The sequence below is a fragment of the Homo sapiens genome, chromosome 22 (assembly GCF_000001405.40).
Source record: "Homo sapiens chromosome 22, GRCh38.p14 Primary Assembly".
Lineage (NCBI taxonomy): Eukaryota > Metazoa > Chordata > Mammalia > Primates > Hominidae > Homo > Homo sapiens.
Window position 1 is genome coordinate 28760101 of NC_000022.11, and position 11822 is coordinate 28771922.

An 11822-nucleotide genomic window follows, 5' to 3' on the forward strand; every position below is an offset into this window, starting at 1 on the left:
AATCTTCATTCCTTCTTCAGAACAATCATCAGGACCAAAACAATCTGACCACAAAAACAAATCAGATCAACATTGCCACATCTTTGGAGGAACTTCAAAGAAACTTTCCCTTACCTGTTACCATCAGCTGGAAAGGCTGCAGGGCCTCCCAACAAACCATGTCTGACTTGGGGAATAAATTAAAAAGACATTATTTCTGAGTCATGGCTTCTGAGGTGAGTGGGTTTACTTTTTTCTCCCCTCTCTTCCAAATTCTTTCCCTTCTCATCTGAAGTTTAACTGCAATTCTAAATCCAGGAACCCTTTCAAGTGTTCCCTAACAAAGCCCTGTGGGAGGTATGCTAATAGACGGCTGAAAAATTGGCAGCCAAATTTGGTTTAAAGTTTCAGACCAACAATTGAAGCAAGTGAAGCACCCCCTGTCCGCCACCCCCAACACACACACACAGGCACACACACACAGTTCCCAATATAGTGTCAGAACAAATCAGAGGTTTCAACTAATTTGTGACTATGTCGTCCTGAGTTTGGTGTCAGACAGTGCTCGTGTTGTGAACTGAATGATTTTGTCCCCCAAAATTCATACGTTGCAGTTCTGGCGCCTCTAAGGAAGTAATTAAGATTCTACAAGACAGGAAGAGAAACTGAAATTGACCATGCTGGCACCTTGAGCTTGGACTGCAGCCTCCAAAACTGTGAGAAAATAAATTGCTGTTATTTAAGCTACCTAATACCTGGGTTTAAGTCCCAGCTCCCCTACTTATTTTCCATCTGTATTTTTTTTTTCAAGATGGAGTCTCGCTCTGTCGCCCAGGCTGGAGTGCAGTAGCGCCATCTTGGTTCACTGCAACCTCCACCTCCCGGGTTCAAGCTATTCTCCTGCCTAAGCCTACTAAGTAGCTGGGATTACAGGCGCCCGCCACTACAACCGACTGATTTTTTTTTTTTTTTTTTTTGTATTTTTAGTAGAGACGGGGTTTCACCATGTTGGCTGGGCTGGTCTCGATCTCCTGACCTCGTGATCCGCCCACCTCAGCCTTCCAAAATGCTGGAATTACAGGCATGAGCCACCGCGCCTGGCTGCTGTTGAGAGACAGGACTAGCTGGATTTCCTAGGCTGACAAAGAATCCCTAAACCTAGCTGGGAAGGTGACCACATCCACCTTTAAACACGGGGCTTGCAACTTAGCTCACACCCGACCAATCAGAGAGCTCACTAAAATGCTAATTAGGCAAAAACAGGGGTAAAGAAATAGCCAATCATCTATTGCCTGAGAGCACAGCAGGAGGGACAAGGATCCGGATATAAACCCAGGCATTCGAGCCGGCAACGGCAACCCCCTTTGGGTCCCCTCCCCTTATATGGGAACTCTGTTTTCACTTTATTTCACTCTATTGGATCTTGCAACTGCACTCTTCTGGTCCATGTTTGTTGCAACTCGAGCTGAGCTTTCCATCCACCACTGCTGTTTTGCCTCCGTCGCTGACTTCCATCCCTCTGGATCCAGCAGGGTGTCCTCTGTGCTCCTGATACAGCAGGGCGCCCATTGCCGCTCCCGATCGGGCTAAAGGCTTTTCATTGTTCCTGCACAGCTAAGTGCCTGGGTTCGTCCTAATCGAGCTGAACACTAGTCACTGGGTTCCACGGTTCTCTTCCATGACCCACAACTTCTAATAGAGCTATAACACTCACCGCATGGCCCAAGATTCCATTCCTTGGAATCCCTGAGGCCAAGAACCCCAGGTCAGAAAACACGAGGCTTGCCACCATCTTGGAAGTGGCCGGCCACCATCTTGGAAGTGGCCCACCACCATCTTGGGAGCTCTGGGAGCAAGGACCCCCGGTAACACCGTCATCTGTATTTTCTTTGTTTGTTTTTGAGAAAGGGTGTGGCTCTGTCATCCATGCTGGAATGCAGTGGTGCCATCTCAGCTCACTGCAGCCTTAACCTCCCAGGCTCAACCAATCCTCCCACCTCAACCTCCCAAGTAGTTGGAACCACAGGTGGGCACCACCATGCCTGGCTAATTTTTTAATTTTTTGTAGAAATGGGGTCTCTCTACATTGCCCAGGCTGGTCTCGAACTCCTGGGCTAAAGCTATCTACCCACCTTGGCCTCCCAAAGTGCTGGGAATACAGGGGTGAGCCACCATGCCCAGCGTCCTCATCTTATTTACTTATTTAAGACAACGTCTGGCTCTGTTGCCCAATCTGGAGCACAGTGGCATGATCTCGGCTCACTGCAACCTCCACTTCCCAGGCTCAAGCCATCCTTCTTCCTCAGCCTTCCAAGTATCTGGGACTACAGGCATGCACCACCACGCTTGGCTAATTTTTGTACGTTTTGTAGAGACAGGGTTTTGCCATGTTGCCCAGGCTGGTCTCAAACTCATGAGCTCTAGTGATCTGCCCGCCTTGGTGGCCTCTCAAAGTGTTGGGATTACAGGCATGAGCCACTGTGCCTGGACATGGCCTCCTTATCTTTAAAAGGGTAATAATAGTACCTATCTCACAGTGTCATTGTGAAGATCAAGTGAAATAAATTATCTATGCAAATTGCTTAGCATGGTGCATGGCACATGGAACTCAGAGATAATACTTTCTTTTACTTTCAATTATAATTACTACTTTTATTATTTTTATTGGGAAACAAAATCATGCCTTTCATTGCACCATAAATACATTCTTTCAACAAAATTCCAAGCACCTACTTTATGTAAGAGACCACTTAGCCCTGAGAGAGAACAGTCAGATGCTTCCTGTACATTGGGGAAATCACTTTTCACCAAAAACAAAACAATAATAAAACTTCTGGGCTGGGCCAGGTGTGGTGGCTTACGCCTGTAATCCCAGAACTTTGGGAGGCAGAAGCGGGTGGATCACTTGAGGTCAGGAGTTTGAGACCAGCTTGGCCAACATGGTGAAACTTCGTCTCTGCTAAAAATACAAAAATTAGCCAGGCGTGGTGGCGTGCGCCTGTAATCCCAGCTACTTGGGAGGCTGAGGCAGGAGAATCACTTGAACCTGGGAGGTGGAGGTTGCAGTGAGCTGAGATCACACCACTGAACTCCAACCTGGCAACAGAGTGAGACTCCATTTTAAAAAAAAAGGTTCTGGACTGAGTATGGTGGCTCACACCTGTAATCCCAGCACTTTGGGAGGCCAAGTGGGAGGATCACTTTAGCCCAGGAGTTCAAGACCAGCCTGGGCAACATAGTGAGACCCCATCTCTACAAAAAGTGTTAAAAATTAGCCGGGTCTGTTGGCAGCCTATGGTCCCAGCTACTGAAGTGGGAAGATTGCTTGAGCCCAGGAGTTTGAGGCTGCAGTGTGCTATGAACATGCCACTGTACTCCAGCCTGGGCAACAGAGCAAGACCCTGCCTGGAAAAAAAAAAGTTCCCATTTGCTTCACAGTTACCGTATGCCAGGGAACATCTGTAGTATTTTGCCTGATTCCATCAAAATAAGCCCAATTTGACTCACTTTACAGATGAAGAAACACACTTCAAGAAGGTAAGAGTTAGCCAAGCGAGGTGGCTCATGCCTGTAATACCAGCACTTTGGGAGGCCGTGGTAGGTGGATCACTTCAGGCCAGGAGTTAGAGACAAGCCTGGGCAACATAGCAAGACCCCATCTCAAGTTCTTTTTTTTTTTTTTTTTAGATAGTCTCGCTCTGTTGCCCAGGCTGTAGTGCAATGGTGTGGTCTAAGCGTATTGAAGCATCCCAGGTTCAAGTGATTCTCCTGCCTCAGTCTCCCAAGTAGCTGGGATTATAGGTACCCACCACCACGCCTAGCTAATTTTTGTATTTTTAGTAGAGATGGGGTTTCTCCATGTTGCACAGGCTGGTCTCGAACTCCCGGTCTCAAGCCATCCGCCTGCCTCAGCCTCCCAAAGTGCTGGGATTACGGGTGTTAGCCACTGTGCCCGGCCACGTCTCAATATTTTTTTTAATGTAAAAAAGAAAATTAGAAAAACAAAAGTAAGAGTATTTAAACCCATCTATCTGCAAAGCCTGTGCTCTTACAGGGCTGAACTCACCAAGATTAAGTACCAGCCAATGGGGTTAAGCAATTCATAACGAGAAGTGCCATTTACCAGGGCCTGTGCCATGCCATGGAGAGGTAAGATTTGTTAGGAGTCCCTATGTCCAAAGCCCGTGCATACAGCCTCACTGGGTCTAGGGAGGGATCATTTCCAGGTGTGGTAACTAAAGAAGAAAGGAAGAGGAGGAACAGAATCCAGACAAGCAGAGAGAAACTATGTCAGGTGTCCCCCAAACCACCCCGAGTTATGAGGATTTGCCAGGAGATCTCACAGGACTCAGTATATGGTTCTACTCATGGCTATAACTTTTTTTTTTTTTTTTTGAGACGCAGTCTCGCTCTGTCGCCCAGGCTGGAGTGCAGTGGCACGATCTCAGCTCACTGCAAGCTCTGCCTCCTGGGTTCACGCCATTCTCCTGCCTCAGCCTCCTGAGTAGCTGGGGCTACAGGCGCCCGCCACCACGCCCGCTAATTTTTTGTATTTTTAGTAGAGACGGGGTTTCACCGTGTTAGCCAGGATGGTCTCAATCTCCTGACCTCGTGATCCGCCCACCTCGGCCTCCCAAAGTGCTGGGATTACAGGCATGAGCCACCATGCCCAGCCTCATGGCTATAACTTATTATAGCAAAAGGGTACAAAATGAAATCAACACAAGGAAAAGTCTCCTGGCACAGTCTGATACAAATCAGATGCAAGCTTCCAAGGGTCTTCTTCCAGTGGAGTCACGTCAGACGCCCATAATTCCCCTAGCAACAAGTTGTGACAACACGTGAAAATGTTGTCTGTAAGGAAGCATAGATAGACTCAATACCAAGGGGTTGGCCGGGCACGGTGGCTCACACCTGTAATCCCAGCCCTTTTGGAGGCCGAGGAGGGCAGATCACTTGAGGTGATAACTTCTGACAACCCCACCCCTCATGGATCATTGCCATGAACAGTTTGGTATCATGTGTTTCTTTCAGAGGGGATAAAGCTTAGTACTCTGCTATTATTTACCTGACTTGCTTGCTAAGATTGTTTCTTTTTTTCAGATGGAGTCTTGCTCTGTCACCCAGGCTGCAGTAGAGTGGCACGAACTCAGCTCACAGCAACTTCTGTCTCCTGGGTTCAAGTGGTTCTCCTGCCTCAGTCTCCTAAGAAGCTGGGACTACAGGCGTGCGCCACCACGCCCAACTAATTTTTGTATTTTTTTGGTACAGACAGGGCTTCACTATGTTGGCCAGGCTGGTCTTATACTCCTGACCTAAAGTGATCTGCCCACCTCAGCCTCCCAAAGTGCTGGGATTACAGGCATGAGCCACCGTGCCTGGCCGCTAAGGTTGTTTCTTAAGTTCTACCAGTTAATAACTATTATGTAGGCAAATTACTCACTCGCCTCCCCACCGGCCCTGGCTTTTTTTTTTTTTTTTTTTTTTGAGACAAGCTCTTGCTCTGTCACTCAAGCTGGAGTGCAGTAGTGCAGTCACAGCTCACTGCAGCCCCAACCTCCCTGGATAGTCATAATGGAGTTTCCTGCTGGATGGTATTAAGTGATTTTTATTTGCTTTTCTACACTTTTATCAGCCCCACCACTAACTTTCTAAGAAGCTGTGTTCATTTTATAACCAGAAAACATTGTTTTAAAAAAAGGTAGGGGGGAACAGTGGAGATTAACCACCAAGGAAAAAGGAGTCATGAAAGGATTGTCTGAGTGTCTGTATGTCTCTGACCCACCAACCCTATGAGATGTGCGCTGGAAGTAACATCAAAGAGGCACGGTTGGACAATCACTAAGAAAAAGATGGGTCCAGGCGCAGTGGCTCATACCTGTAATCCCACCACTTTGGAAGGCCAAGGCAGGTGGATCACTTGAGGTCAGGAGTTCAAGACCAGCCTGGCCAATATGGCAAAACCCTGTCTCTATTAAACATACAAAAATTTGACCGGGTACGGTGGCTTACGCCTGTAATCCCAGCACTTAAAGAGGCTGAGGCAGATGGATCACTTGAGGTCAGAAGTTTGAGACCAGCCTGGGCAATATGGTGAAACCCCATCTCTACTAAAAAGACAAAAAATTAGCCAGCTGTGGTGGCACATGTCTGTAATCCCAGCTACTCAGGAGGCTGAGGCAGAAGAATCACTTGAACCTGGGAAGCGGAGGTTGCAGTGAGCTGAGATTGTGCCATTGCACTCCAGCCTGGGCTACAAGAGCAAAACTCTGTCTCAAACAAAAACAAAAACAAAAATTAGCCAGGCATGGTGGTGTGCACCTGCAGTCCCAGCTACTCGGTAGGCTGAGGCAGGAGAATTGCTTCAGCCTGGGAGGCGGAGGTTGCAGTGAGCACCACTGCAGTCCAGCGTGGGTGACACAGTGAGACTTTGTCTCAGAAAATGAAAAAAGAAAAAAAAAATAAGAGGAGGGGCTCTTAGAGGCCACTGTCAAATTCTGTAGCTGCTCTCCCCAGGGTAATGGAGGGGACAACTAACTACAATCCTCTGACTTATGCTTCTGGGGTCTTAAGCTCCAAGGTCTCAGACACACTGTAGTGAGTCTTTCAAATTGATTCCCCATAGCCCTTTCTTCCACAGAATTCAATGAGATGAGCAGACCCTACAAGTTTAGGGCAGGATCTAGGGTCTCAGATCTGGGGTTTGGCACTGGCTAGTTCACATATAGCTGAGGGAATTGGGGACCATAACTTGCCTCAATTTTCTTATCTGTAAAATGGGGGTAGGAAAATCATCCAATTCACAGAGTTGTGAGGAATACTTAATCTGAGTAAAGAGCACTTGAAAATAGAAAGCACCTAATAAATTATTAATTATAGTACATTGACTGATAAGGGGTATAACTTAGTATAGAATTATGAATTATGGCCGGGTGCAGTGGCGGACGCCTGTAATCCCAGCACTTTAGGAGGCCAAGGCGGTCAGATCACCTGAAGTCAGGAGTTCGAGACCAGCCTGGCCAACATGGTGAAACCCCGTCTCTACTAAAAATATAAAAATTAGAAAGGCGTGGTGGCAGGCACCTGTAGTCCCAGCTACTCAGGAGGCTGAGGCAGGAGAATCGCTTGAACCCCAGAGGCGGAGGTTGCAGTGAGCAGAGATCGAGCGACTGCACTCCAGCCTAGGTGACAGAGTGAGACTCCATCTCAAAAAAAAAAAAAATTTTGAATTAAAGAATGAAAAGAATGGTTGTGTGTGCCTCCCCTCCCAGGAGCTCAGGGCAGGGCCTGCCAAAGGTGTCTCTACACCACACCCCATGCTTCCTCTCTTCTCTCTCTCTCTGGCTCTCTGGCTTTCACTCTCATTCTCTCTCCCTCCTCTCTCCTTCCTTCCCTCTCTCCTTCTCTTTCTGCCATGTGATTAAAAAAAGAATGAAAGAATGAATTTAGATAGATATTCAAGAAATATAATTAGGTAGAAAAGCAAATTTTAGAATAATATGGAGTATGACTCTCTTATTTTTATTTATTTTTTATTTTTATTATTTTTTGAGACGGAATCTCGCTCTTCTTGCTCAGGCTGGAGTGCAGTGACACGATCTCGGCTCACTGCAACCTCTGCCTCCCGGGTTCCAGCGAGTGTCCTGCTCAGCCTCCCGAGGAGCTGGGATTATAGTTGCCCACCACCACACCTGGCTGATTTTTGTATTTTTAGTAGACACAGGGTTTCACCATGTTGGCCAGGCTGGTCGCAAACTCCTGACCTCAGGTGATCCATCCACCTTGACTTCCCAAAGTGCTAGGATTACAGGCATGAGCCACCACGCCCGGCCATGACTCTCTTTTTATAAATATATATTTATGGCCGGGCGCGGTGGCTCACGCCTGTAACCCCAGCACTTTGGGAGGCCGAGGTGGGCGGATCATAAGGTCAGGAGATCAAGACCATCCTGGCTAACATGGTGAAACCCCATCTCTACTAAAAAAAAATACAAAAAATTAGCTAGGTGTGGTGGCGGGCGCCTGTAGTCCCAGCTACTCGGGAGGCTGAGGCAGGAGAATGGCGTGAACCCGGGAGGCAGAGCCTGCAGTGAGCCGATATCACGCCACTGCAATCCAGCCTGGGTGACAGAGCGAGACTCCGTCTCAAAAAAAAAAAAAAAAAAAAAAAAAAAAAAAAAATATATATATATATATATATATATATATATATGTATTTATATTTATACATAGGATCATCTGGAAGTATCGTTTTTGTTTTTTTGAGACAGAGCTTTGCCCTCTCACCCAGGCTGAAGTACAGTGGCATGATCATGGTGTCCTGCAACCTTGAACTACTGGGCTCAAGCAATCCCCCTGTCTCAGCCTCAGTAGTAGCTAGGACAACAGGCATGCACCATCATGCCTGGCTAATTTTTTAGGTTTTATTTTTTTTGGAGACTGGGTCTTGCTATATTGCCCAGACTTGTCTTGAACTTCTGGCTTCAAGCCACATCAGCCTCCCAAAGTGCTGGGATTTCAGATGTGAGCCACCACACCCAGCCTGGAAAAATATTTTTTTTTTTTTTTTTCCCCTAAACCCCAGAGTCAACAAGACTATTTGGTAGCCAAGGCTGGAAAAAAGGATATTTTTTAAGGTAAGGAATGAGGTGGCCATTTGTAGAAATTGCCCAGGAGAGTATCTTTTATATCCAGTTAAGCAGGATTTTACTTTAAGAATGCAAAATTGAATTGTAAATGGCATTAAGAAAACTGAAACCCAATCCATTATCTTGGCAAAGGGGGTTCGTTAGTTTTCTCTTGCATCATCACAATGGCAATAGAGTTAGAGAGGAATGGGGAGAATCTGGAAGCATTTTGCAAGTAAAGTCCATAGAACTTGCTAACTGACTAGATATGGGTGTGAACAAAAGAGAGGCATTCATGGTGATGCCTTGGTTTTTGGTCAGAAAGAGAAAAGTATCTTCTGACAGAGGAAACTTCCTTGATACTGGGAGGTGAAGCCAGCTGAGCTTCTGAGTCCAGTGAGGACTTGGAGAACTTTTGTGTCTAGTCAAAGGATTGTAAATGCACCAATCGGTGCTCTGTGTCTAGCTAAAGGATTGTAAATGCACCAATCAGCACTCTGTAAAAACGCACCAATTAGCACTCTGTAAAATGGACCAATCAGCGCTCAGTAAAATGGACCAATCAGCACTCTGTAAAATGGACCAATCAGCAGGATGTGGGCAAGACCAAATAAGGGAATAAAAGCTGGCCACTTGAGACAGCAGCGCCAACCTGTTCGTGTTCCTTTTCACACTGTAGGTTTGTTCTTTCACTGTTCACAGTAAATCTTGCTGCTGCCCACTCTGGGTTTGCACTGCCTTTATGAGCCATAACACCCACCGCGAGGATCTGCTGCTTCATTCCTGAAGTCAGCAAGATCACAAACGCACCTGGCAGAACAAACAACTCCTGACAGGCCACCTTTAAGAGCTGTAACACTCACTGTGAAGGTCTGCAGGTTCTCTCCTGAAGTCAGCAAGACCACGCACCCACCGGAAGGAAGAAACTCCGGACACATTTGAACATCTGAAGTAACAAACTGCAGACGCACCATCTTTAAGAGCTGTAACACTCACCGCGAAGGTCCATGGCTTCGTTCTTGAAGTTGGGAAGACCAAGAACCAACCGGAAAGAATAAATTCCAGACACAATACTGTTAGACTTCATTGTCCTCCTGTTAAACATAAAAATTTCACAGAGCGTTATCAAACAAGGCTATTCTGACCTCATGGATCACGACAAAAACAAGTTCACTTAATCCTGTCCAAATACAGGCAAAAGCATAAACATTGTCCAAACCACAAAAATTGCTAAATACCACCCTACCCTAACTGATATGAAGGACTGTTGCTACTTTACCAGTTAGAGGTTGAGCTTTCCTTCATTCCTCACACCTTATAGAAAAGATTGGTTAAGATACCCAATCACAGCGGGCAGATCACTTGAAGTCAGGAGTTTGAGGCCAGCCTGGCCAACATGGTGAAACCCCATCTCTACTAAAAATACAAAAATTAGCCAGGCAAGGTGGCACACACCTGTAATCCCAGCTACTCAGGAGGCTGAGGCACGAGAATTGCTTGAACCTGGGAGGGAGAGGCTGCAGTGAGCCAAGATAGCACCACTGCACTCCAGTCTGGGCAACAGAGTGACACACTGTCTCAAAACAAAAAGGACACCCAATCACAAATTTATCCCCACTTCCAGACAGAATTAATTCCAGAGCAAAGCTGTTTTCTTTCTTTTCTTTTTCCTTTCCTTTTCTTTCTCTTGCCCTTTCGCCCAGGCTGGAGTGCAATGGCACGATCTCGAATCTCAGCTCACTACAACCTCTGCCTCCTGGGCTCCCCGACTCAAGCTATTCTCCTGCCTCAGCCTTCTGAGTAGCCGGGACTACAGGCGCCCACCACCATGCCTGGCTAATTTTTGTATTTTTAGTAGAGACAGGGTTTCACCATATTGACAAGGCTGGTCTTGAACTCCTGACCTTGTGATCCCACTGCCTCGGCCTCCCAAAGTGCTGGGATTACAGGTGTGAGCCACTGCACCTGGCCGAAAAGTTCTTTTTTTTTTTTTTTGGAGAGGGAGTCTCGCTGTGTCTCCCTTGCTGGAGTGCGGTGGCGTGATCTCCGCTCACTGCAAGCTCCGCCTGCCGGGTTCACGCCATTCTCCTGCCTCAGCCTCCCAAGTAGCTGGGACTACAGGCACCCGCCACCACCCCCGGCTAATTTTTTGTATTTATTTATTTATTTGTTTATTTATTTATTTATTTTGTGAGACAGAGTCTCACTCTGTTGCCCAGGCTGGAGTGCAGTGATATGATCTCGGCTCACTGCAAGCTCCGCCTCCCGGGTTCACGCCATTCTCCTGCCTCAGCATCCCGAGTAGCTGGGACTACAGGCGCCCACCACCACGCCCGGCTAATTTTTTGTATTTTTAGTAGAGACGGGGTTTCACCGTGTTAGCCAGGATGATCTCGCTCTCCTGACCTCGTGATCCACCTGCCTCGGCCTCCCAAAGTGCTGGGATTACAGGCGTGAGCCACGGAGCCCAGCCAAAAGCTGTTTTTTAAAACCTTCCCTCAAAACGTCTAACACAACCCCAAATCCTATAAAAAGCCTTTGTAACACCTCCTAAGGGAGAAATTTCCTCACTGGAATGAGTAGATAAACCTTTCTTTGTTCAATTATGTACATGTGTGTGCTTTGGCTGAAGGGCATTGACATTGGCATAAGCAGTTTCGATTGGATGGTGGTGCTGTTGTGAGATGGAAAAAACAGGGCATAGTCAGTGATTGGGGGTTGACCATCTGCCAAGCCCAGGCAGGAGATACTGCCTCTGAATGCCCCAAAGAGGCTGGAAGGCTTGCCAGTACCTGTCACAAGTGCTCTGAGGCTTTTGTTTTTGTTTAAGTCCTGAGTTTACTTTTTTTTTTTTTTTTTTTTGAGACACGGTCTTGCTCTGTCACTCAGACTGGAGTGCAGTGGTGTAATTATAGCCCACTGTAACCTCAAACTCATGGGCTCAAGCAATCCTCTCACCTCAGCCTCCCCAGTAGCTAGGACTACAGACATGCACTACCACGGTGGGCTAATTGTTATTTTTTTGTTGTTGAGATAGGGTCAAGCTAGACCTAGGATGGACTCCTGGCCTCAAGCGATTCTCCCACCTCCCACCTCCGACCTCCCAAAGTGATGGGATCACAGGCGTGAGCCACCTTGCCGCGCAACTGAGGTGTTTTTTTGTTTTGTTTTGTTTCTTGAGACGTAGTCTCGCTCTGCCACCCAGGCTGGAGTGCA

The 11822-nt window shown here is 47.0% G+C and overlaps 1 annotated feature.

The window, feature by feature from the left end:
* Positions 201-495: a silencer, noted in NCBI's record as "tiled region #506; K562 Repressive non-DNase unmatched - State 23:Low". NCBI's record gives its function as "represses a minimal TATA promoter and a strong SV40 promoter by Sharpr-MPRA in K562 cells {active_cell/tissue: K562}" and the evidence as "EXISTENCE:reporter gene assay evidence [ECO:0000049][PMID:27701403]".